The sequence below is a fragment of the Homo sapiens genome, chromosome 18 (assembly GCF_000001405.40).
Source record: "Homo sapiens chromosome 18, GRCh38.p14 Primary Assembly".
Lineage (NCBI taxonomy): Eukaryota > Metazoa > Chordata > Mammalia > Primates > Hominidae > Homo > Homo sapiens.
This window is the reverse complement of record NC_000018.10, coordinates 79,854,547-79,881,313: the sequence shown is the minus strand read 5'-3', so window position 1 is coordinate 79,881,313 and position 26,767 is coordinate 79,854,547. Positions and strand designations below refer to the sequence as shown.

General features: G+C 53.9%; 1 protein-coding gene across 1 annotated transcript in view, besides 4 other annotated features; it reads right to left on the bottom strand.

The window, feature by feature from the left end:
- KCNG2 (potassium voltage-gated channel modifier subfamily G member 2) overlaps positions 1-26,767 on the bottom strand; it is a 102,163-nt gene that overhangs the window by 18,787 nt on the left and 56,609 nt on the right. Inside the window, exons 2-3 of the mRNA NM_012283.2 lie at positions 24,862-24,935; positions 17,023-17,686 (exon numbers count right to left, since the gene is read on the bottom strand). Coding sequence (NP_036415.1) covers positions 17,023-17,646 — 624 coding nt within the window. The 5' untranslated portion in view covers positions 17,647-17,686; positions 24,862-24,935. The remainder of the gene's footprint in view (positions 1-17,022; positions 17,687-24,861; positions 24,936-26,767) is intronic.
- Positions 24,311-24,605: a silencer, noted in NCBI's record as "tiled region #1017; K562 Repressive non-DNase unmatched - State 10:DNaseD". NCBI's record gives its function as "represses a minimal TATA promoter and a strong SV40 promoter by Sharpr-MPRA in K562 cells {active_cell/tissue: K562}" and the evidence as "EXISTENCE:reporter gene assay evidence [ECO:0000049][PMID:27701403]".
- Positions 24,311-24,605: an enhancer, noted in NCBI's record as "tiled region #1017; HepG2 Activating non-DNase unmatched - State 4:PromP". NCBI's record gives its function as "activates a minimal TATA promoter and a strong SV40 promoter by Sharpr-MPRA in HepG2 cells {active_cell/tissue: HepG2}" and the evidence as "EXISTENCE:reporter gene assay evidence [ECO:0000049][PMID:27701403]".
- Positions 24,400-24,529: an enhancer, noted in NCBI's record as "active region_13546". NCBI's record gives its function as "activates an Ori minimal core promoter by ATAC-STARR-seq in GM12878 lymphoblastoid cells {active_cell/tissue: GM12878}" and the evidence as "EXISTENCE:reporter gene assay evidence [ECO:0000049][PMID:35858748]".
- Positions 26,045-26,124: a silencer, noted in NCBI's record as "silent region_9578". NCBI's record gives its function as "represses an Ori minimal core promoter by ATAC-STARR-seq in GM12878 lymphoblastoid cells {active_cell/tissue: GM12878}" and the evidence as "EXISTENCE:reporter gene assay evidence [ECO:0000049][PMID:35858748]".

Here is a 26,767-nt window from a genome sequence, read left to right as displayed (position 1 = left end):
TCTACATAGGCAGTCCTATTCTCTTGCTTTCCAATCGTACGGCGTGTTTCTACATAGGCAGTCCTATTCTCTTGCTTTCCAATCATATGGTGTGTTTCTACATAGGCAGTTCTATTCTCTTGCTTTCCAATTGGACAGCGTGTTTCTACATATGCAGTTCTATTCTCTTGCTTTCCAATAGTACGACGTCTACTTTCCTTGCTTCACTGCTCTCTCTAGGACTGCCAACAGGTGCTGAAGAGGAGTGGGGAGCAGGCATCCTTGGGTTGGTCCCAATCTTAACGGGAAAACATTCAGTCTTTTGCTATGTATGTTGTTAGCTGTAGGGTTTTTTTGGTAGATGTTCTCTATCAGGAAAAGGAAATTCCCTTCTATTCCTAAATTGCTGAAAGTGCTGTTTTAAAAATCATGAATGGATACTGAATTTAGTCAAACGCTTTTTCTACATCTGTTGAGATGAACAGCTGGCATTTTTTCTTTGGTGCATTAATATTGTGAATTACATGGGTTGGTTTTGAGTATCGAACCAAGCTTGCTTTCCTGAGAAAAACCTCAGTTGGCCGTGATGTGCTGTGCTTTTTATGTCTTTACCAACCCCGATTTACTGATGTTTTGTTGAGGAGTTTCGCATGAGTTCATGGGAGACACTGGTCTTTGTTTTTACTTTTCTTGTCATGTCTCTGGTTTGGTATCAGAGGAGTATTGGCCTCTTGGAATGAGTTGGGAAGGGATCCCTCCTCTTACATGTTTCTGGAAGAGACCATGTAGAATTGGTGTTATTTATTCCTTAAATTTTTGTTAGATTCACCAGTGAAACTACCTGGGCCTGGAATTTTCTTCCTGGAAGGTTTTAAACTATGAATTTAATTTTTTTAATTACCATAGGATTATGTTATTTATTTCTTCTTGAGTGAATTTTGGTGACTGAGCATGTTTTTAAGTTAATTTTTGTCTTATCAAAGTAATTGTACATGTAATTTTTTTTTTTTTTTTTTTTGAGACAGAGTCTCACTCTGTCACCCAGGCTGGAGGGCAGTGGCGCGATCTTGGCTCATGTGATATTCAAAACCAACCCATGTAACTATCCCTACTTCTAAATGCTGATCTGGCCATTTATTGGCATATTAATGTTACACATTTTGGGTGACTTTGTAGAGTTGAGAATCTGGGTCTCCCACACACCCCACCTTCAACCACCATAACTGTAACCTCTTTTCTGCAGACATTGTTACATCCCATTTTTGGGGTAAGATAACTCATGCGCGTTCACAGTGTTAAGAAAATGTGAACATGCTCATTGCTGAGCCAAGTCGTGCTCTACAATTACATTTTTTTCTCATAGAATGTTTTGTTTCTCCTGAAGTTTTATGGTTTCATTCCAGAACTGCTTAGTGCCACCCGCCTACGACCCAGGGGGCCCCTTCCTGTCCTGCCTTTGGTGGGACCTCGTTTCTTCCCTCTCACCATGGAAGCTTTTAGAATATTCTTTTTTCCCTGAAGTTTCAGGATGAGACGCCTTGACACGCGTGCGTTTCCATTCAGCCTTGGGGGATTCGTGCACTGGTTGGGATAAGTCCGGTGTCTTGAATTCTGAGCCAATTCTGAACCATAACACCCTTTCTCATTCTCGCCTTTCTGGAACCCTGGTAGGCCAGAGCGGGACTTCTGGATTAACCTCCCAGCGGTGCATCTTCCCCCTGCCTTTTCATCTTTGTCTTTGAGTGGTATCTTCTTTCCTAAATGTGTACTACTTCTTTTTTGAGTAGGGTAATCCCATTTTTAACTTCTGAGAGATCCTCTTCACCCTCGGTTCCTTTTTCATGGCGTCTTGTTCTTGTTTCATGGACACAGCCCTGCTCTGCCCTCTTGGCGTCCCTGATTATAACTCCTGATGTTTCCTGTGTTTCCCCAAGCCCCATGTCTATCCTTTCAGGCTCCATTCTTTCCCAATGTGCCTCACTTCCTCGAGACGGGGGCGCTAAACTGCTGCTTGGACGCCCTGTGGCCTGGGTGGGGCTTGCCAACCACTGGGTTCACTGCCAGTGTCCAGACAGTGCTGGCCTTCGTCAGGCCCTGTGCACCAGCCAATGCCATTCTCCCCTTTGAGGTGCCCAATTCTGCCAAAGACAGGTCCTTTGGCTCCTGTGGGGGCTGGAGGTCTGGCTGCAGCCATCCTAGGCAGGGAGGGGTCTATGGGCAGGTTCTCCCTCAATGACTCCTGCAGCCTGGCACGCTACCACCCTCCAGGAGCCTGACCCCCACATCCGGGTCTCCAGGGAGGCGGCATGGGGCCAGGAGCTGGTACAAAGACGGGGGAGGCAGGAGCTGAGCTCACCACCCATTGTCGTCCCCATTCCAGCCCCAGTTTCTCCCATTGTTGCTGGGATAACAGAAGCCTCCAGAGCGGCCCATGGTGGGCTGCCGGCATCTCCCACAGGTCTCGCTCCACAACACAGCCGTCACCTTCCACAGCCACGGCCACCATCTTCCTTCGTGCGGAAAGCGCCCATCGGTCACTGTATCCATTCCTGCCTGCACCGTCCATGTGGATTTACACTCTTTTCTCCCTTTACGATCATTTCAGTTGGGTTCAAGAAGTCAGAGGAGGTCAAAAGATGTAGCCAATCCATTACCTAATCAAAAGTCTAAGTATTATTTTTATTAGAAAAAAAAATCAGGAACTTAAATGTTCTGTATGAAAGGAGAGCAGGCTGAATAAATTACGGAACTGCCAAGGGGAGGAATGCAGCACAGCTGCGAGGAGGGCTGCCCTTGGGGAAGATTTGGGGCATCAGGCGCCCTCCGCACACTGCCACGTGGCATCAGGCGCCCTCCGCACACTGCCACGTGGGCATCAGGCGCCCTCCGCACACTGCCACGTGGCATCAGGCGCCCTCCGCACACTGCCACGTGGCATCAGGCGCCCTCCGCACACTGCCACATGGGCATCAGGCGCCCTCCGCACACTGCCACGTGGGCATCAGGCGCCCTCCGCACACTGCCACGTGGCATCAGGTGCCCTCCGCACACTGCCACGTGGGCATCAGGCGCCCTCTGCACACTGCCATGTGAAGCAGCCAGTCACCAGGCAGGATCTACACTGAAGTCTCAACTAGAAAATGTGTGTCAATAGGAAAAGACCAGAAAGGCAGTCTCAGAACGCTTCCTGTGGCGCTCTGTGTGTAATGGGACTAGTGAGGGTTCAGCTTTTCCTCCCAGGCATTTACACATTTCCTGGCACGCTCACACCACGCGGCAGCGCCGGTGCCATCGGGAACCGCAACGTGGGACGGACAGTGTGGGGACAGCTGTTCTGACAACAGTCTCAGGACGTGGCCACAGGAACCTGGGTGCCAGGCGGAATGGGCATGCAGCCCGGTGGGCAAGGGCAGTGGAGGATGGAGTGGGGCCAGGCTGAGCAGGCACAGGGACCGTGACCAGCCGCCTTTGAAAAACTAAGTGGGCTGGGAGCCCTTCTCAGAAGGCGAGGTCTCCGCTGACATGGTGTCCGCCCTGGCATCAACCTTTTATTCCCTAGTGACAGTAAACAGAAGGACCGAGCCACATTCCCCCAATAACCACGGCTGCAGCTGCACTTGTCACCCCGACCGAGGCTCCAGAGATGCCAAGTGTGGGTGCTCCTGGGCCTCTGTTCTCAATTCAGAGCACAGAAGATTCTGCGGCTTCAGCCTGCCAGGAACGAGGCTGATTCTGAGTGCCGTGACTCTCGGGGGGGGCGGAGGTGTGAGAACAAGGGGGTCAGGGAAGGCTGGGTGCACTTGTCCCCAACGGCGAGGGAGGGCTCAGCATGCAGGGACCCCGCAGCTCGCGATTTTCCTGTTGGGGTCTGAGGTCTATTTAGTGTGTAGTCAAATCCTCAGCCTTCTGCATCCCTTGGCTGCTGCCTGTGTATCTCCTGGAAGCTTTCTCTCCTCCACCAACCTGTCCACCAGGCAAACAGCCGCGGCCACTGAGAGCCGGGAGCCAGCCGCTGGAGGGACCCAGCCTCACCAGCAGTCATTTGCTCAGCAGCGACTCTGTCCGCAGACTTTAACCCTTCGCTCCCTAAGTACCTGAAAGAAAATAATTATTGACTCATTTTACTAACTATGAATTCATAACAGTTTGACTTTGAACTGAATTGAGGTTTTTTCTTTTCACTCATCTACAGAAAAGGCCTCTTGCGTCAAATGAAGACAGAAAAGCAGAATATTAAATCTATGTAAGGGAACAAACTGTTTCAAAACAGCACAACAGGCCTTTGCCTAGAATGTGCTCGCCTGGAATTATCTGCACCGAAGCAGACGTGTCAGTTCGATTTCCTGCGCACCCTGCGTTAACTCGTTTTGTGCCTTCGTGTCTGGAGAAAATCGGCACAGCTTCCCCTCGGCATTCTGTCCTCTCACCCTCCCCTGGCTGAAATGAGCCTGGCCGTCCCAGGGCCCCCTGACCCCAGCACATTCTGAGGTTTCCTCTGAGCATGGTGTTCTGTGCCAAACACCATGAGAGGCATCTGCAAGAAGGACACGGAGTTGGTGGCCCGGGCCTGGCACGGCTGGTGCCCAAGAGCGAGACCAGGCGGTCTGCAGGTGCAAGTGCTCACGGTGCCAAGGGTGTCGTTGATGATTCACCCAGCTGTGCCGAGAGAGGGGGCTGGCCCTGCCCTCAGGGCACCAGCGTCACAGACACAGGTGAGCAAGCTGCTCGCAGAGGGCACCACTGCCTGTGGATGCAGAAGAGGGCATCCTTCCCGGGACAGAATCGTTCCAAGTCACGAGTTAGAATTCAACTGGGTCGAACAACGGCTCAGCACCTGCAGCCCCTGTCCTGTCCCTGGGCCGCTGGTTTCCACTGCTGTTTCCCGGGAACTGCAGCCCACAGCAGTGGCCACGCCGCAGGTGACTCCTCTCCATTAGGTGCTCTGCACCCAGCCCAGCCCCACCAAGTGCCCACACAGTGTGCTTGCAACTTTCCACAGCGCCAGCCCGATCATCCCTGCCTGGCTGGGGCCCTTCGGAGACGCCAGCTCAATCATACCTGCCTAGTGGGGCTTTTCCGCAGTGTCAGCCTGATCACGCCTGCCCGGCAGGGCTGGACCTGTCTGTGGGTTTCAGTCCAGCTTCACTGTGATGGCAGCGGCACCAGGCGGGAGATGGGTCCTGGATGTGGCGCCAACACCCACTGCCCCGGCAACAGCAAGGTCCAAAATGCCGCAGACCTTCCGCTGCTGTGGCCCGTGAGCTGCGGGCGCTGCACCAACCCCAGACCTGGGCAAGAAGCAAGTCAGCTCTGAGCTCCTGCCACTGGGCTGCTGGGCAGTGTGCCCGCCTGGGGACTGCGTGCCGGACATCGGTGCAGTGGAGAATCTGTTCTTACTGGCTCAACAGGAATTTTGATTTAGGAAAGAAGCAATCCCAACTCTGCATCAGTGCGCTGGGCATTGGGGATCGGGGGCAGACACTGAGTGGGCTGCAGGCCAGTCCGACTGCTCTTCACAACCGCCTCCCCCTTCAAGGTTTTCTGCACTTAATGGGGGCTCAGGGCAAGTTCAGCAGCAGAGACCCAGGCCCCCCAGCAGGCAGAGGCCCCGTGAACACCACAGTCTTGCTCTTGGCCAGACTTGCACCTCCCCGACTCAGGACCGCTGTCCCCAACCCCGTGCCAGGGTCTGCGGTGCTGCCGTGTAGGGCGGGAAGGTCTGTGGTGCCACCGTGTAGGGTGGGACGGGAGTGATCTCTTTCTTCCCCATTGTCAGGGTCACGGCCGACCCCATAACAAAGGCCGACAGGAGAAACACATGACAAACTCACAGTGGGAGTTTTACTGACACAGGAGCCTTCGGCATGAAGACCCTGAGATTTAGGGAAACAATCTCTTTGTATGTGGAGGTTCAGTGAAGCTGGAGTGGAAATGGGATTGGCAGATGGAAATGTGTGCTCGGTGGTGCTAGACCAAGGGGAGCGCCCAGGGCCGCCTGTGCTCCGTGGTGTTGGACTGAGAGGAGCCCCCAGGACCGCCTGTTCAGATTTGGGCTCTGGGCAGTGCTCTTTCTTCCCATGATGGGGCAGGACCCTCTGGAATGGGGGTCTTAGGACCCCATCAGACAACGTAGGGCAATCTCCTCATGGCCAGTCCTCACACAGAAGAGTGGGGAAGTTAGGGGGATAACTCAGGCTAGCTTTAAAAGGGGTTGTGGTTTCTATGACCCACCCTGGCGAAGAGATTCTAGTTTCTCTGGTAGCCCTGGGTGAGATGGAGGCTGGGAGATCACAGGGCAGAAGGTGGGGAGCTGCTTTGCTGCAGAGGCTGTCCCGCTGGGGTGTGGCTTTCTGAGCCTCATCAGTCTCCTCAGGGCCTGTCACATACCTGGAGACGCCCCTCTCCTGACACCCTCCAGGAACCCCCACTCCTACCACAGGAAGGAATGGCGATGGGGAAGAGGGAAGCCTGAAGTCCCGGCCTGCGCTGGCCAACGGGGCAGGAGCACACGTGACCGTGGCAGAGCCCTGGAAAGGGACCCGGTGCCCCTGGAAGCTCTCCCACCACCGCACCTGGGCCGGCCTCCTGGAGAGGAGGGAGCGGAGATGCACCAGCTTCCACCTTGGAGACCCCAGTTGATGCGGCAAGGACAGAGCATGCCAAGCCCAAACCCAGCCTCAGAATGACCCGCAGACAGACGGCTGCCATCTGAACCCAAGGGGAAGCTTATGCAGTAGGAGAGAATCAATTCTGGGGTGGGCCCCCCGCTTTGCACTTTTCTCTTTGTTCTCCAGAATCCACCGTCACATCTTCGTACACATTTCTCTAGATTTTAAAGATTATTTTGTGAGAGTCCAAAACACCCACTAGGACTCTGACTGACGCGCAGTAAGTGTGTGTGTTAATTTGGGGAGTGGCTCCCCCCTCGGGGCAGGTGTGCCCCGTTCACTCCTTTCTTCGCCTCCGCTGTGACGGTGCTGCTCCTGATAGACACAGAACCTCTCTTGCTGAGATTATTCCTAGGCCTTTCATATTTTTGTTATTAGGGTGACTGGAATAGTTTTTCTATTAAGTTTTCTATGACTGATGGCATAGAGGAAGGTGGCTGATGGCGGTGGCTGTACAGCTTTTCTTCAATCGGCCAACAAAACACAGTTCAGGAGCAGAATCCCTACCTCAGCCTGTGATGGGGAAAGGCGGGAGGCGCTGTGAGGGCCGAATGTGAGGGCCAAGGATTCCCGAGGCAGTCAGGAGACAGCGCCTGCCTGGCCTCTTGACCCCACGCTTGACCTGAGGCTGTAACCGGATCAGTTGTTCCCACTGGGTTCTGGGGCAGGCAGCTGTCCTCGGGATGACCCCGTCAAAGCCCGAAGTGGCCCGAAACGTGTCTGACTCTTCAGTGGCCTCAGCATGAGCATGTCACTGACAAGGATGTCCCCTCAGCAGCGAGGCCAGCGCCTCTCACAGGCTGGACCTGGACACCGCAGCTGCTGCCTTCTTTGGGCTAAATCCACTCCCCGCCAAGTCCCAGGCGCCTCCTGGCCCAGTGAGGCAGCTAGGCGGACACTGTTGCCAGCTCTAACCGCGGCCGCTCCATGGCCTCCCCTGCTTTCCTCCCAGACTCCTGCTTTCCAAATCGCAAAGTTCAGATGCCGCGAACAGACACTGAGGACATGGGGTGTGCCGGCTCCCAGGAAAACGCTCCCGTCCAGGGCTCCCCAACAGACAGCTAGGGCCAGCTCCCAGGAAAACGCTCCCGTCCAGGGCTCACGGCCGGACAGCTAGGGCCGGCTCCCCGACGCCCCTCACAGCTGCATACAGGCCAAGCGCAGGCTGGATGTGCTCAGAGGGGCCGGTGGCCACGCAGAGGATCTGGGAAGACTGACAGGAGGTGGCTGGGGGGGGGGGAGGGGGGCCGGCAGGAGCGGCACCCGTGGGCCAGCACGGGGAGTGACAGAGGGAACGGGAGTGTGGGGGAGGCCTGGGGAGGCGGGGAGCACACAGAGACCCCTGCAGGGCACAGAACTGAGAAAAACAACAGCCTGGGAAAAAACAAAGTCCACGAAGAAGAAAGGGGAAGTCTCCCAAGTGATACGGACAGGAGGCGAGAAACGCTGGGTGGAGAGGGTGGTCCCCCGAGAGGGCCTCAAGCCTGGGACCGAGGCCCAAAGCAAGAACTCTCATTCCTGTTTTCCTGCCCGAGTGCTGTCTTTCCAAAACCACCCTGGCCCACCCTGCTGCCCATCCTGTCCCCAGGCCCAACCGGCAGAGCTACCTGGCTTCTTCCTAGCAGGTCCTTTTGTGAGCCTCCCCACTATTTCTGCACACTGACCACTCCTGCTATGTCATCAGAGGAGGACAGCACACGCCGGCTCCCGGAGGGGCGGTCCCCACCCCACAGACCCTCCCCACGGCCGCCACACAGGGGGCCACACGAGGCTTCGCTTCCCTCGTTTGCAAAAGGGGAGAGAGACCTCGCTGTGTGATTCTGTGTGCTGAGCACTGTCCAAAGCAAGGCACGTAAATTATTCAACTTAATCTCAACAGCTTTGAAGAATCTGCATTTGTTTGGTGAGGAAACAGGCTCAGAATGGAGAGAATGTTTCAAGCCCTGCCGCTGTCAGAGCCAGAGCTGGATGGGAGCGCCAGTCACACTCAGAGTCTGAGAACTAAGCCAGCCCGCAACTGCGCCTCGTACTGCAGCAAGAAGAGAGACCGGAGACCTGGGAGGGATTTTATGGAAAAAGAATTGGCCGGGCGCGGTGCCTCCGCCTGTAATCCCAGCACTTTGGGAGGCCAAGGTGCGTGTATCACCTGAGGTCAGGAGTTCAAGGCCAGCCTGGCCAACATGGTGAAACCCGTCTCTACTAAAAATACACAAAAATTAGCTGGGCGTGGTGGTGCATCTGTAATCCCAGCTACTCGGGAGGCTGAGGCAGGAGAATCACTTGAACCCGGGAGGTGGAGATTGCAGTAAGCTGTGATTGCGCCATTGCACTCCAGCCTTGGTGACAGAGTGAGACTCCATCTCAAAAAAAAAAAAAAAAAAAAAAACTGAAGCTTTGAAGCTTTTATATCAGGGATTTTAGCTTTTTTTTTTTTTTTGCCAGACTAAAGTGAAAATCCAAAACACAAATCTTCGATGTTTTCCCCATCAAATCTGTGCAGGAAGCAGAGCAGAGAATGCAGCCTGTTATCTTCCTCCCCTGCCCATGGAGTTTCCAGGCCCTGCCGTTTGCAGGCCTCCACGAGCCTCTGCAGGGTCTCTGATCCCTCCACAGGGGTGCCAAGGGCTGAGGGGTGTGCGGCCGGCCGCACGTGCAGGAGCGTTGCCATCACTGGGCCCTGCCCGCCTCCCAGAGCTTGGTCCGGTGGCATTGTGCGGCCCCAGAGCAGCTGGCCCTGGTGACACATCTGCTGCGGGTCCTCACTCGGTGCTGGCAGGAATTTGCTGCCAATGTCGCAGTGGCAGACGCTGCTGACTGGCACCTGCCTCCCTGGTAAAGAGCAGCCGCAGCTTTGCTCAGGCCTGTGGCCTCTGGGTTAGGATGTGATGCCGGCCCCTCTGCACCGCAGACGTCCAGGCCAACGGGACGCAGACGGACGCAGAGGCTCTGCCAAGGCGTCATAGGGGGCCGCCTTCCCCTCCCTCTACTGCCCCTGGGTGGAGACTGGTGGTGTGGGAGCCTCCCAGACGCGGGGGGCCACCGGCTGGTCCTGCACCGCCCACTCGACTTGCTGCCGCAAGACGTCAGCCCCGCCTGACGTCCCCCGAGATTCTCAAGTTTGGATCTGTTGTGGCCCTAATACAGCCCTTGTTATACCACATGGATGGGAAGGGGCCATGGCCCAGAGCAGCTGCCCTAGGAGCCCCACTGCCTGCTCTTTCTGAAGAAATCAGCTCTGAACGCAGAACCTGCCAGCTGGTGCTCAGGTCCAGGACAACTCTGCCTGCGGCTGTAGGGACAGGCCACACCCCACGTCCTGTCCACACCCTATGTCCATCCTTGCCATGAGGCCGTTCAGGGCTCCAAGGGTCCCCCACAGGACAGGCTGCGACAGACGCAAGCACGTTTTGCGCTGCCAGGAGGCGGGAGGTGCGATTTGTCAGCTCATAAGGCTTAGCCTCACGCAGGTGCAGGTGGACAGAACACCCTCACGGCGGACCCCGGAGGCCTGTGCCTGACACGAAGGCTGACCCTCCCCAGTGCAAGGGACTCCTCCTGCCTGGCCACAGGCTAGGACCTTCCTCCTGCCTCAGGCTCGACGGAAACCACAGCTCTGGTCTCTCGGTGCTGGTCTTTGGATTGGAACTCAGACCCAGGCTCTGCTGGTCTCAGGTGTGCTGACTGCAGCGTGGGGCCTCCAGCCTCCAGGACCGGGTGAGCTGACGCCTGCCAATCAGCCACACCCTTTCATCCTGCACCTCTGGAGAACCCTGATCAACACAACTCGGCATCCACAAAACTCGCTCTGTGAGCTGACACAACTCGGTGTCTGTGACGTCTGCCCACGTGCAGAAGAAACTTGGCTACCAGCTTTTAAAGCTGTTGCAAAAATGTTCTCAGTGAATTCAATGCTTCAAATCCCAGTCATGAAATCTATAACTAATTATACTGGTCTCAATTTAATCATGTGAGTTTAAAAGAAAAAATCAATTCACAGAGCCAAAAATCAGCCTGAATGTACAAGGAAGCAATGGATTTTGAAAAACAACCTCCAGCCAGAAACCTCCAACAGCGGGCAGGTCTCCAGTGAGCAGATGCACAGTCTGTCCTGGCCTCCAGCCAGCCCGTGGGTGCTCACACCATCCAGGCCACACAGCAGCCGCCCAGCGCAGAGGGAGCGCGCAGCTCTGGGGGCACGGAAACTGCCACCACCCATCCCTCCAAAGCCTCTGGATCCTCACGGTGGGCGTCACCAGGCCACATCCACCAGCAGGAAGCCAACACTGGTGCAATCCTGACCATGGAGAGCCCACGGGACCCCAAAACCACACCACGTCATTGCAATCATCAAGCCCTGTCACTGTCAGAGACGACAGAAGACACCGCTCCCTGCCGATTATTCCGCAGCCATTAGGGCCCACGGCAGCTGAAGCTCGTGATCCCGTCTGTATGTTCACAGGGCGCCTTCGACGTGGGGGGCTTCGTCTGGGAGCAGACGGTGGGGAGAAGAGAGGTCGCTCGGCCTCCTCCAGTAGCTGTCCACAGCCTAAACTCCCGAAGGCCACAGACTCACTGGAGGTCCCATGAGGGCAATGGGGAGCACGAGCGGTGCCCACCCCCAGGTGGCTGGGGGCCCAGAGGTGGGAGGTCCTGCCTGGCTGAGCCTCCACCAGCTGGGAACGGGTGGCAACTCCCACTCCAGCTCTGACCTCAGACCCGTGTGTGTCCCTACAGCCTGGATTAAAACATCCATGCCACGGCTGCGGGCCGTCCCGCGTGGTGGTGGCGGCGGCTGAGGTGTCTGCAGGTCGTGACCACTGGTGACCTCTCCTAGGAAAGATGGCGAGGTTGGGGGTGCAGTGGGTGTGTTTGGGTTTAGAATGTACTTTTTGAGGGTCAGAGAATCCAGGATAACTTTGGGGGCCACAGATGTTTAGGATTTGGTTTGTAACCTCTGTGGCCACAGGCAAGATAAACAGTTGAGCAAATCACCCTAACGCCTGGCCACGAAGATGCTGTGGGTTTGGGATAGAACGGATTTTCTCTCCTGGGAAAGGCCCAGCAATGGAGTGAACGATCCCACGTGAGAAGGCAGAGGACAGAGCCTGCTTGGACAGCACAGGGCGGGTCCAGGTGTCCACCTTCCGGTCCCCAGGGCCGTCCCAGCACATCTGTGGGCCAGTGCGTCCCCTGTGGGCTCAGACTCAACAACTGCTCCCAGTCCAGGCAGCCCAGAGCCAAGCACACACTGACAAAGCCGGGTTCTCAGGTCCTGAGCACTGCTGGGGACGCACGGGCATGTCCTGCTCATACATAACTGAGGCTTCCTATTTCTTCCGCACCCGCCGTGTGCAGCAGACCAGGCGTTTCCGTGGTCCCTGAGCCGAGCCCTCCCCACAGGGAGCTACTGCCCCTGTGCAGGTCGCAGCCCAGGGGCAGGAGACTCAGCGCGGGGCGGGCACTGAAAGCAACCAGCACCCTGGGCTTCCCTCATTCTCCGAGGTATCCAGGAGACCCGGGAGGCTGTCCCAGCTGGACTCTGGCTCGGGGTCTCCCCAGTGTCTGCAGGGCTGTGTGTAGGGGTGCTCACGGCTCCTGCATCCCCACCCCTGCACCTGGGACAGCACAGTGCGTGCGGGAAACCCTGTGGAAGCCGACCCGTGTGGTGGCTGGACTCAGCCTCCCGCACACATCCCATCAGAGAGCTCACATTCTGTCAGTAACACCGACTCCTAGTTCTCAAGAACTCGTGTCCTGACAAACAGCACTGAAGCGCTCGCACCCACGTGCTCTCCAGGGAGCACTGAGTTACGGTCCCACTGCCGTCCCTCAGCAGCTGGCCTGGGATGGTCAGCCAGTGATTTGGCTCGTCTGAGGCTTGAGCTGGGCTGGGACTTGCACTGTCTGGGATTCAGCATGTATTTATTTAATTAAAGTGAGGCTGAGCATCTTCTCACGGGAATCACCATCATTTTACGGTTCTCACATCCCATCAATCAAGTGGACAAAAGGTGACGTCCTTCACCAGCCCCCAGCTGGACGCTTGGAAGCACCCTGGCTTCCGGTTTTGTTACGTCACCAACACGCCAATTCTCATGCTTTGAAATATTCTCTTAGGACAGGAGTGAGAACCACCTTTTCTTGGCTCTTCACCCACACAACTGAATCGCTTCCGAAAAAGACCTTCGGTCAGTCAGCAGCAGCTGCAACGCTCGGACACGGGTCACCAGGCCCCATGCAGAGGGCGACTGCTTCTTAACCGGACGCTTGGACACGGGTCACCAGGCCCCACGCGGAGGGCGACTGCTTCTTAACCGGACGCTCGGACACGGGTCACCAGGCCCCACGCGGAGGGCGACTGCTTCTTAACTGGACAAGCAATTTAGGGGTGCGTGCCAGGAGTGTGAAGGGCTGGGTGCCACGGAGCCCAGGGTTGTCCCTGAGAGGATCTGGGGTTTTGGGGTCCACAGTAAGGGTTAGGGCTGGTGTTCCTGGGGTGACTTCTGTAGCTGGGGCAGCCCAAACTTCTCCTATTCTCTAACGTGACACAAATGAATTTTCCCTCCTGGATATTCGACCGAGGACAGCCAAACACTCCAGCACCTTTTGGAAGCACGATCAGGACCTGGACCTCATGGGGACGACGGGGGAAGGCAGCCTGGCCGCCAGACACCCAGACTGCAGGCAGCAGCCGACTTCCAAACCTGTATTTAAGTCAGATTGGCACTCGGGCCGCAGGCTTGGGTCAGTTCAGCTTCTTGCTGTGCCCTTCAATGAGTGTCCCCCAGGTAGGCAGGGGCTCTGCGGTGCTGACGGTGGGTGCTCTGCCCCGAGGGGTGGAGGGGTCTCCACGCAGTCCAGGGAGGCCGGTGCCGAGGGGAGGGGTGCCCGACCCCCACCTGGTGGGGTGCTCTGCCTCCTGGTGTGGCCATCGGAAAACGCAGGGAGACTTTTTCAGGGCAACACTCAGCTATGCCCATTCAGACACAGTCACAGCCCCTTCTCCGTGAATGTCACCCTCTGGCAACACAAACCCCCAGGCCCAGGGCCCGGAGCTCACGGTCCCCCCCCAGACACGACACACACTGAGCTCACGGTCCCTCCCAGACACGACACACGACGAGCTCACGGTCCCCCCCCAGACACGACACACGCCGGGCTCACGATCCCCCCCCCAGACACGACACAACGCCGGGCTCACGGTCCCCCCCCCAAGACACGACACACGCTGAGCTCACTCCTTCCCCAGACATGACACATGCTGAGCTCACTTCTTCCCCAGACATGACACATGCTGGCAAGCTTTTGCCTTCTCTTGCCTCCTCATGGTAACATAGGTTGACCCACAAGGACACACACTTCTGCCCAGGCCTTGTCAGGTTAGTGGGACAGGACGGATGGGGCAGGAAGTCTAAGACAGGGGCAGGAAGATCCACACCCAGGTCTAGTCACCCAGATCTCTCAGCACCCAGATCTCTCAGCACCCAGACCTCTCAGCACCCAGACCTCGGTACCCAGACCTCGGCACACAGACCTCTCAGCACACAGACCTCTCAGCACCCAGACCTCAGCACCCAGACCTCTCAGCACCCAGGCCTCAGCACCCAGACCTCTCAGCACCCAGACCTCGGCACCCAGACCTCTCAGCACACAGACCTCTCAGCACACAGACCTCTCAGCACCCAGGCCTCTTAGCACCCAAATCTCTGAGAACACAGACCTCTCAGCACCCAGACCTCAGCACCCAGACCTCTCGGAAAACAGACCTCTCAGCACACGGACCTCTCAGCACACAGACCTCAGCACCCACACCTCAGCACCCACACTCTCAGCACACAGACCTCTCAGCACACAGACACACAGACCTCAGCACCTAGACCTCTCAGCATACAGACCTCTCAGAACACAGACCTCAGCACCCAGACCACAGTACCCAGACCTCTCAGCACACAGACTTCTCAGCACCCAGACCTCTCAGCACCCAGACCTCTCAGCACCCAGACCTCAGCACCCAGACCTCTCAGAAAACAGACCTCTCAGCACACAGACCTCTCAGCACCCAGACCTCAGCAACCAGACCTCTCAGCACAGAGACCTCGGCATCCAGACCTCTCACAAAACAGACCTCTCAGCACCCAGACTTCAGCACCCAGACCTCAGCACCCAGACCTCTCAGCACACAGACCTCAGCACCCAGACCTCAGCACCCACACTCTCAGCACCCAGACCTCTCAGCACCCAGACCTCTCAGCACCCAGACCTCAGCACCCAGACCTCTCAGCACCCAGACCTCAGCACCCAGACCTCAGCACACAGACCTCTCAGCACACAGACCTCAGCACCCAGACCTCAGCACCCACACTCTCAGCACACAGACCTCTCATCACACAGATCTCTCAGCACACAGACCTCTCAGCACACAGACCTCTCAGCATCCAGACCTCTCAGCACAGACTTCTCAGCACGCAGACTTCAGCCCACAGACCTCTCAGCACACAGTCCTCTCAGCATACCGACCTCTCAGCACCCAGACCTCAGAACACAGACCTCTCAGCACCCAGACCTCAGAACACAGACCTCTCAGAACACAGACCTCTCAGCACCCAGACCTCAGAACACAGACCTCTCAGCACACAGACCTCTCAGCACCCAGACCTCTCAGCACCCAGACCTCAGCACCCAGACCTCGGCACACAGTCCTCTCAGCACACAGACCTCTCAGCATCCAGACCTCAGCACCCAGATCTCTCAGCACACAGACCTCTCAGCACAGACTTCTCAGCACCCAGACTTCAGCCCACAGACCTCTCAGCACACAGTCCTCTCAGCATACAGACCTCTCAGCACCCAGACCTCTCAGCACACAGACCTCTCAGCACCCAGACTTCTCAGCACACAGACCTCTCAGCACCCAGACCTCAGCACCCAGACCTCAGAACACAGACCTCTCAGCACCCAGGCCTCAGCACCCAGACCTCTCAGCACCCAGACCTCAGCACACAGATCTCTCAGCATGCAAACTTCTCAGAACACAGACCTCAGCACCCAGACCTCTCAGAACACAGAACTTTCAGCACCCAGACCTCATACCCAGACCTCTCAGCACCCAGACCTCAGCACCCAGACCTCTCAGCACACAGACCTCAGCACCCAGACCTCTCAGCACTCAGACCTCTCAGCACCCAGACCTCATACCCAGACCTCTCAGCACCCAGACCTCATACCCAGACCTCTCAGCACCCAGACCTTTCAGCACCCAGACCTCTCAGCACCCACACCTCAGCACCCACACTCTCAGCACACAGACCTCTCAGCACCCAGACCTCAGCACCCAGACCTCTCAGCACCCAGACCTCAGCACCCAGACCTCAGCACACAGACCTCTCAGCACACAGACCTCAGCACCCAGACCTCAGCACCCACACTCTCAGCACACAGACCTCTCAGCACAGACCTCTCAGCAGCCAGATATCTCAGCACCCAGACCTCTCAGCAGCCAGACCTCTCAGCACCCAGGCCTCTCAGCAGACAGCCCTCTCAGCACCCAGACTTCGGCACAAGGTCCTCTCAGCACACAGACCTCAGCACAAGGTCCTCTCAGCACACAGACCTCAGCACCCAAACTTCTCAGCACACAGACCTCGGCACCGAGACCTCAGCACCCAGACCTCTCAGCACACAGACCTCTCAGCACCCAGACTTCCGCACACAGAACTCAGCACCCAAACTTCTCAGCACACAGACCTCTCAGCACCCAGACCTCTGCACACAGTCCTCTCAGCACACAGACCTCAGCACCCAAACCTCAGCACCCAGACTTCTCAGCACACAGACCTCGGCACCCAGACCTCTCAGCACACAGACCTCAGCACCCAGACCTCTCAGCACACAGACCTCGGCACCCAGACCTCGGTTCCATAGCCAGAAGCCTTCCTGGCCCTGGCACTGTCCTCCAGCCCTGAAACAATGCGGTTGGGTCTCCTTGGTCCAGAATGACCAAATGTCACACAATTCTCTAGGCCCCGGATACCCAATATTTTAGCTCCACGTTGTCCAAACTTTGAAGGCCTGATGGGCTGAGCAGTTTCCGGCGGCCTGTGGACCGGATGCTGCGTCGGAAACCGAATGTAACTTGGAGCCTCTGTTGTCTCCCGCTGGGGGTGGAGGTTGGCCAAGACCACCATCAGCGGCGCTCCCTCAGCCCGGCCGCCTCCAGCCCGGCCCCGGCCCACCCCAGTCCCGGCAGCCCCCAGCCCGGTCCTAGGCCCTGGCCATGGCTGCCCCCGCGCCCCTTCCCCCACCCACCTCCCCGCAGCCCAGATCCCAGCCCAGCCCCAGCTCCGGCCCGGTCCCCGCCACCCCCGGCCGCGCTCACCCGCTCCTCCTCGGCGCGGATGTCCGGCATGGTGCTCAGGCAGAGGCCCACGGCCGTGACGGCCACGAAGGACACGGACACGCAGGCGAAGAGCTTGCCCGCCAGCCCCGAGTGCGGGTTGTCCACCACGTCGCGCAGGCGCCGCCGGCCGCGCTGCAGCCGCCCCCGAGGTCCCAGGGCGCGCGCCGGGCTCCCCTGCGCCCCGCGCTCCGTCGGCCCCGCGCGGGCCTCGGCCGCCTCCTCCTCGCGGCGGCGCAGGCGGCGCAGGCAGCAGCGCTCCAGGCGCGCCTCGTCGATGCCCCAGTAGGCCAGCTCGTCGCGGAAGGCCAGCGCGCACGGGCCCCGCAGCAGTCGCAGCTTCCCTGCGCGCAAAAGCGCCACGATGGCGCGGAAGGCGCACGGGCTGCGGTCGAAGAAGAACTCGTCGCGGCTCACGTCGTAGTCGTCACACACGCGCAGCAGGTCGTCGTGGCCGCGGCAGGCGCGCAGGCGCTCCAGGCGCGCGAGGGGGCATCGCGCCAGCGCGGCCCATGCCAGGCGCACGCGGCAGCCGCCCACGTTGATGATGACGTGCCGGGCGCGGGTCCCGCCGCCGCCGCCCGGGGAGCAGGGCCATGGCTCCATGCGCAGGGCCGGACCGGACCGAGGGGCTCCTGCCCGGCTCCTGCAAAAGGAACGGACCGCGTTAGGGTCGCGAGGGCTGAGCTGGGGGAGCGCGTCCGCCCGCGGGGATCCAGGGGCCGGGCCGGCACCGAACCCTCGGAGGTGAGCTCGGAGACCCCTCCGCCCGCCCACTTCCCACTCCTCCGCAGGCCCGACCTCTGCACCTGGTCCGCATGGGGGACCCTCAAGCGTCCAGCGGACCCCGCCAGGTGGTGACCCGCCTTGAGTTATCACCAAGGGAACAGCCGGGTTCTTACACTAGGGGACTTGGAACACGGGGTCGAACGGAGCTTTCACAAATCGACGCAAACTCCAAAGAGCCAGATGTTTCAGGGCGGACCCCACCGACCGGTGAGGACGCCGTGATGTCTGGAGGGAGAGACGCAGTCCTAGCTTAGTTTCTCACGGTGTGTCCCGCGGACCAGCCACGTCAGAATCAGCCAGGGGACCTGCTGGAAAACGGCATTCCTGGCCCTACTCAGCATTCTGTGAGGCGGAGAAACTGCAGAATAAGGAGCTCCAAAAGTCCATCCCTACCTTAACACAATGGAAAACCTGGTGAAAACTGTCAAGAGTCAACTTTTTTGGAACTCTGGAAACTAACCAAAAGCTTGCACCAACCGTGGGGCACTAAGAAAGAACAGCTGAGTCTTCGTCACAATAATAAGCTTTGTCGCTCCCCAGCTCTGCGGGGACAGCAACAGCCTGCATTCCCGGTACCAGCACTGGAAGGAGAAGCTACAGGACTCTTTGACTAGGAATCGTAATTACTTTGACTCCGTGGAAGACTGGCTCAAACTCCTGCCTTCATCTCCGGTGTCTTGGAACTCCGTCTGTGCAAAGGCAGCCACTTGGGGAGTGTGTGTCAAAAACATTGATAGGAAAGTGTTTCAGCCATTGCTGCCTGAGGCAATGGATTATGGTTGCCGCCACAGGCTAAACAAAAAGCTGGGGACGAAAGGCTGGGGAATGAGATGATTTAGGAAATGAAGGCCTGATAAAGTTCTAAGAGTTCCCGGGAATCTGGAATGCCACGCACACGCCTCGGCTGCGCACATGCCGGGAAAAACCCGAGAAGTCCCTGAAGTGCCTCCTCGGGCTGACCTTCAGATTCTGCGAGCAGGAGGTGATAAGACAGAGGCTTGACCAGCCTGGATGAGTGCTGAAGGTTGCTCCAAGACACGCAGAGCCCATCTGCAAAAACAAGTTTCAGTTTTCATTCCAGACGTTTAAGAATCTATATGTCCCACCACTTGCTGCCCTCTAAGCTATTGGAACAGACATCAGTGGCCACATCAGACAAAGAATATGGACTTTACAAAATTAGTTCACAAAAGTTACTCAACAAACCACAGTAGCTACAAAAACTCCTGGGGAGAGGGGAGAGTCTGATTTCCAGAACTGCCACTTATTAAAAATTTCATTTTCAACAAAAAATTACAAGGCATACAAAGAATACAAGAGTGTAGCTCATAGACAGGAAAAAGGAACTAAAACAGAATATCACTGAAGAAACACAGATATTGGACTCACCAGAAAAGATTTCACATAAGCTTATTTAATATCTTCAAAGAGCTAGAGGAATTTGTGAGAATGATGTCTCACCAAATACAGAATATCAATAAAGAGACAGAAGTTATATTAAAAAAAAGTGATAGAAATTCTGGTGTTGAAAGTGTAATAGCTGAAATGAAAAGCTCATTAGAGGGTCTCAGCAGCAGCTATGAACACGCTGAAGAAATAAGCAGAGAAACTGGAGATACATCATTTCATGCTATCCTATCTGAGGAGCAGAAAGAAAACAAGTGAAGAAAACGGAACAGAGCCTAAGAGACCTGTGGGACCATCACATGTACCAGCTTTTGCATAGTGAGAGTCCTGAAAGGAAAGAGGGAACAGGGAAGAAAGAATATTTGAAGAAATATGGTTTAAAAACCCTCCAAATTCGATGAAAAACATTAATCTACACATCTAAGAAACTCAACAAACTCCAAGTAAGATAAATTCAAAGACATCCACACTGACACACCACAAACTGTCTAAAGACAAAGACCCGGCACAGTGGCTCATGCCTGTAATCCCAGCACTTTGGGAGGCCGAGGCAGGTGGATCCTCTGAGGTCAGGAGTTTGAGACCATCCTGGCCAACATGGCAAAAACCTGTCTCTACTAAAAATACAAAAATTAGCGGGGTGTGGTGGCAGGTGCCCGTAATCCCAGCTACTCGGGAGGCTGAGGCAGGGAGAATTGCCTGAACCTGGGAACGGAGGTTTCAGTGAGCCGAGATCGCGCCACTGCAGTCCAGCCTGGGTAACAGAGTGAGAACTCCATCTCAAAAAAAAAAAAAAAAAAAAAAGAGAGAGAGAGAAGAAAACAGAGGCAAAAATCCTCCACAAGACATGAGCAAAATAAATCCAGCTTCATATTAAAAGGATTATACATGATGACCATTTGATCGTTTACCATAGAGATTTATCACAGGAATACACGGGTGGCACAATACACAAAATTACTATAATACGCTCATTTATAGGATGAAGGGAAAAATCATGCGATAATTTCAATAGAGGCAGAAAAAGGATTTGACGAAGTCTAACATCCTTTCCTGATTAAACAAAAAACTCAATCAATAACTAGGTCTAAAAGAGAACTTCCTCCACATGACAAGGTCCACGTAGGAAAAACTCACCGCTAACTCCATAGTCAACGGTGAAAGACTGGATTCTTTCCCCTAAGACCAGGAACAAGACTGAAATACCTGCTCTCATCAGTTCTACTTAACATTGAACTGGAAATTATAGTCAGAAAAATTAGGCAAGAGAAAGAAATAAAAGGCATCCACACTCAAAAGAAAAAAGTAAAACTATATTTTGAGATGACTTGATCTTATGATCTTATGTACAGAAAACCTTAAAGAACACACACGCACACATACACATACACATGCGCACACACACACACACACATCACTATGAGAATGGGTTCAGCAAAGTTGCAAGACATGAGATCGGTAAAAAAAATCAGTTGTATTTCTATACAAAAGCAATGAATAATCGGAAAAGGAAGTTAAAAAAATTCCATTTATAAGAGCATCAGAAAGAATAAAATACTTAGAAATAAATTTAACCAAGGAGTGGAAACTGAAACCTACACTGAAAACTGAAAACTACAAACATTGGTGGAAGAAATTTTAAGACTAAATAAATGAAAAGACATTCCATGCTCATGTATTGGAAGACTTAATATTGTTAAGATGGCAATCTTCCCTAAATTGATCAACAGAGTCAATCCAATCCATATGAAAATCCCAGTAACTTTTTTGAAGACATTGACAAGTTGAACATTCTATTGACAAGTTGAAAATTCTATTGGAAATGCAAGGTAGCCAAAACAAACTTGACAAAGGACAAAGTTGGAGGGCTCAAACTTACTTGATATCATTTTATTACATGCCTCCACCTAAATCTTGTGTCGAAATGAGATCTGTTCGTTTAAAAGTGTGTGGTACCTACCCCGCAACCTTGTTCTTGCTTTCACCATGTAACGTGCCTGCTCCCCCTTTGCTTTCTGCCATAACTGGAAGCTTCCCAAAGCCTCCCCAGAAGCTTAGCAGACATTGGCACCGTGCCTCCTTTACAGCCTGAAGAACCATGAGCGAATTAAACCTCTTTTCTTTATAAATTACCCAGTCTCAGGTATTCCTTTATAGGAATGCGAACATGGACTAGTACATTACTACTTACTCAAAGTGAGTATAAAGCTACAGCAATCAAGAGTGTAGTACTAGTGTAAAGAGAGACATAAAAATCAATGGAGCAGAATTGAAAGTCCAGAAATGAACCCATAAATCTACCGTCAGTTCACTTTTGACAAGGTCGTCAAGACTATTCAATGGAGAAGTAATAGTGTCTCCAACAAACGGTTATCCACATGTAAAAAAATAAAGTTGGACCCTGCTATCGTTTGGATATTGGCCTCCAAATCTTATATTGGAATTTGATACCCAGTGTCGGAGGTGGGGCCTAATGGGAGGGGTTTGGGTCATGGGGGCTGATCCCTCATGCATGGCTGGGAGGTGTCTTCATGGTAATGAGTGAGTTCTCGCTCTATGAGTTCACTCCAGAGTTGGCTGTTGAACCCGCCTGGCACCCCTAGCCCTTGCTTCCTCCATCTCCGTGTGGTCTCTGCACACACCAGCTCCACGCCATCTTCTGCCATGACTGGAGCTGCCTGTGGCCTTCCTCAGATGCAGATGCCTGATCTTGAACTTTTCCAGACATCAGAATCATGATGACATCACAAGCTTCTTTTTAAAATGAATTACCTGGCTCCAGGTATTCCTTTATAGCAACACTGAATGGACCAAGATGCCTACATCACACTATATATAAAAACTAATTCAAACTAGATCAAAGACCTTAATGTAAGAGCTAAAACTCCAAAACACACGTAGAAGAAAACAGACTGTACATCTTCATGACCATGGATGAGACATTGGTTTCTGAAACAGAATGCCAAAAGCACAAGCAACAAAAGAAAAAAAGATAAATTGGACTTCATTCCAATGAAACTCTTGTATATCAAAGAACAGGACCAGGAAAATGAATGACAAGTAACGGTGGAAAAAAAAAGAGCTGCAAGTCCCGTATCTGATAAGAGTCCAGTATCCAGGATGTTAGGAACTCTTGGAGCTCAACAACAAATGACAAACAACCCAATTTAAACATGGGCAGAGGATCTGAATAGATATTTCTCCCGAGGAAGTATGTGAATGGCTAATAAGCACATGAAAGGTGATCAATATCATTAGTCATTATGGAAACGTAAATTAAAACTACAAGATACCACTTCACATCCACTAGGGTCGTTATAGTCAAACAAATGGAAAAAAAAAACCCAACAAGTGTTGGAAAGGATGTGGAAAAATTGGACCCCTGTACATTGCTGGTGGGAATATAAAATGTCACAGCCACAGTGGAAAACAGTCTGGCAGTTCCTCAAAAATTTAAACATGGAGTTCTCATGTGACCCGGTGACCCCACTCCGAGATGTACACTCAAGACAAATGAAAACATGTGTTCACACAAAAACTTGTACATAAATGTTCACAGTGGCATTACTAGAATAGCCAAAAACTGAAAACAACCCAAATTCCATCAACTGATAAACGGAGAAGCAAAATATGGGCCTCCATACAGGAATGTTATGCAGCCACAAACAGGAACCAAGTGCTGCTAATGCCACAGTGTGGATAAAACCTATGCTAAGAGAAAGAAGCCAGGCAGAAAAGGTCACATATACTGGGAATCCGTTTATATAAAATGTCCGAGCTGGGCACGGTGGCTCACGCCTGTAATCCCAGCATTTTGGGAGGCTGAGGCGGGTGGATCACTTGAGGTCAGGAGTTTGAGACCAGCTTGGTCAACATGGCGAAACCCTGTCTCTACCAAAAAATACAAAACTTAGCTGGGTGCAGTGGCGGGCGCCTGTAGTCCCAGCTACTCGGGAGGCTGAGGCAGGAGAATCACTTGAACCCGGGAGTCAGAGGTTGCAGTGAGACAAGATCACGCCACTGCGCTCCAGCCTGGGAGACAGAGCGAGACTGTCTCAAAAAATAAAATAAATAAAATAAAATATCCATGATAAGTAAATTCACAGAGACAGAAAGCCGGCAAGGGGGTTCCAGAGGATGGGAAGAGGGGCGATGGGGAGTGACTGCTAATGGCTCAGAGTTTCTTTTGGGACGATGAAAAGTCCTGGAATTAGATAGTGGTGATGGTTGCACAGCATTGTTAATACACTAAAAACCACAGAATCGTGCACATAAAAATGGTAAATATAACGTTAGGTGAATTTTATCTCCATTTATAAAAATCATTCTGAGTGAGTAGGTCTCGGGGGGATCCAGTAACACGCAAGCCTCATCACTGAGGCTTGAGAGCCGCTGCCTTCCACCGCCAACGTCAAGCCCTTTTTCTGGTTGTTGCTGACAACTGTATTCTAGGACCTCTGCCAAGTAAAGCTTAAACCCACCACTACGGCAAGTCAGGAACCAGAGAAGAGGGGGCGTGGTGGGTTTGCTCAGTGTAGCTCGCAGACTGCCCACTCGACCCAAGCGTGTGATTCATTAGAGATTTTAGGGGGAAAAAGTCAAATGAAAAGGAAGGAGTGAGGGAAAGACAGTCTAACAAAATGGCATTAGTTAGCTTGCCAGTAAGAGCTCAGCACCCCAGTGAAGAATTGCATAAGTCGCTTCTGAATGGGAGAAAGCTCCTTGGATGACTACTGCAATGGAGGCCAGGAGAGAAGCGCTCCATAATCACCGGGACCACGTGTGCTGTGACCTTCAGCGCCAAGTTCGCTGCATGAGAAGAGGGGGGACGTGGTCAGGATTCAAATGGTTATGTGTGCCTCTGTGCCCCAAGGTTCACTCAGTGAACATGTGATCCAAACCTCTGTGCCAGACACCCCATGCCAAGGACATGGCCTGAAGCATAGATCTGAGGAACACAGACAAGTCCGATTCATCCAATACCACACAGGGCTGTGGGGGCGGCTGTGGGGGCGGCTGTGGGGGGCAGGCAGAGAGGTCCACAAAGCAGGAGAGCTCCTCTGGGACGGAGGGCTGGCCCAGCAGAAGGGCTGGAGCAGGGCATCTGATTTTATTCAAAAGCAATCAGCTGCTTAGGTCATGGAAACCTGCTGCGGAGATTTCCCGAGCCCTACAAGTCAAGCGCTCTGGGGGATTAAAGGCTCTGAAGGTTCCAACCTGCCGGCCTCCCCAGGGCTCACAAGACGGAGCTTCCTAATGCAGCAGGAAGTCGTCTGAACGTGCTGCCTCAGAAACTGCCCGGAATAAGCAGCAGCTGTCCCAGTTTGTCGAAGAAGCCTAGCGTGCAAACCCAGCTGCTGGAGCCCTTTGTGGCGTGGCAGACGGCCCCGTGAGCTCCCCTGTCCTCTGCAGTCCCAGGCGGGGTTCGGAAGGGGCTGCGCCTGAGTTCTGGGCTGCCTGTGAGGCATGCCTTTGACAGGTGTGTGTCAACAGTCACCAGAGTCTCAGCTTTACCATCAGCAGAAGGCACAAGAACCCACCAAGAAGACCCTCTCTCTGAAATGGAAAATGATAATCCCAGTACGACTTGAGGTTTCTTGCCCTTCTGGCAGGTTCTGGGTTTACCTGGCTCTGTGAAGGTACAGGGTATTCTCTTTCAGGGAACCGGTGAAAACACAGCTGAGACCAGCGGCTTCGACCTGGAAAATGAACATCCAGTTTCACCCTAAGGGACAGAGAGTCACCTGCGTTATTACTGCGGAGCATCGTGGCTCTGACGCCCCACCCCTCCAGTCCCCGCGAGCACACACACCAGGCTTGCAGGACAGGTTGACTTCCCTTGTAGCCAAATCCATTGCATGCTCCATTTTTTTGTAGGCAGGGATGAATAATTATTAAAATAAGTGGATAATCAGGTATAACCTGGAACTTTTGCTGTAAAAGGCTTTCTTCCTCCCAGAACATACATTTTAAAATATGGACGTAAGTTATATGCTACATTAGAAATGTTCTAAAGCTAATTACTTGATTTAGGAGATTACAAAGTTACTTCTGAAAGCTCTGGAGTTCCTCCCCATTCTCTGCAAAACGTCAGAAAAAGAAAGACAACGCACAGCTCAATAGAAAAAATGGGCCAACTGACATAAAGTTCACATCAAAGGGGGAAAAGGCTTCCAACATATGAAAAAATGCTCAATTTCATTCATAAGAGCAAAAATAAGCATCTTGAATTGCCACAGGTATTAGACTAGATCAACCAGTTTGACGACACACTCTTGTCAAGAGTGTGGGGTCTGGTTCAGTGACGACAGAGGTGAACGGGAATGGCCGTCACAGCACGAGGGCAGAGGCTGAACTGATCTAAGGAAAGCAGGGGCCGTGCAGGGTCCCCTCCACGGAGGGTGATCGGGAAGGAAACCCACCAGCCAGTACCAGAAGGTTTCAAGGCCTCTCTGCTTGGCCAGGTCAAAAACAATGCTGTGTGTCTACGAGCCTAGCATGCACAGTGGGGTGAGGCTGGAATTTTGGTGGGTGATACAGCCAAGACATGATCACGCACAAAGGTGGTCGCAGGCCAGTGATACCCCTGAAACTGACAGAACCAAGCAGAGAACCAGTCAAAGCGGCAGTTCCCAGCAGTGGGGGTGATTCTGCCCCAGGGCAGCCCGCAAGGTCTGCAGACATCTGTGATGGTCACGACTACCGTGACTGGCATCCAGTGGGTAGAAACCAGAGACACTGCCAACACCCTGCACAGGACGGGCCCCCAGAGCAAAGAAGTTTGCAGCCCAATGTCAGCAGGGCACTGGCCCAGAGGCACTCTCAGTTCAAGCCTCATGGGATTCCCACAGACAAAGCCCCAGCCAAGATGAACTGAAACTAAAATGACAAACCACACACAGCAACAGTCCACCGTGAGCACATGCCAGCACACACAGCCTCCTGGGAACTTTAGAAAATAGAATTACAGAAAATAATGAACGAAGGAATTAAAAACACTAGGGAAAGCAAAGACATTACAAAAAATAAAACAAACAAACAAAAAACAAAAAAACCCCCAGAGAATCTAAATAAGAAACAAAACTAGAAATGAAAAAGTACAGTCGGTAGACAAGATTGACCGTAGAAAGATCTCACGCTGAGGACTGTCTCCTGGAGGCATCGGGGTCCACAGGAGACAAATATTACAGAAAAGTCACACATGGAGGAGAAAGTAAAATCACCAAAAGTGGTTTACCAGGAAGCTCAGAAGAATAAGCCAATGAGGCCAGGCACGGTGGCTCACACCTGTAATCCCTGTACTTTGGGAGGCCAAGGCGGGCGGATCACGTGGTCAGGAGATCAAGACCACGGTGAAACCTCGTCTCTACTAAAAATACAAAAAATTAGCCGGGCGTGGTGGTGGGCACCTGTAGTCCCAGCTACTCGGGAGGCTGAGGCAGGAGAATGCGTGAACCCGGGAGGTGGAGCTTGCAGTGAGCCAAGATCACGCCACCGCACTCCAGCCTGGGCAACAGAGCGAGACCCTGTC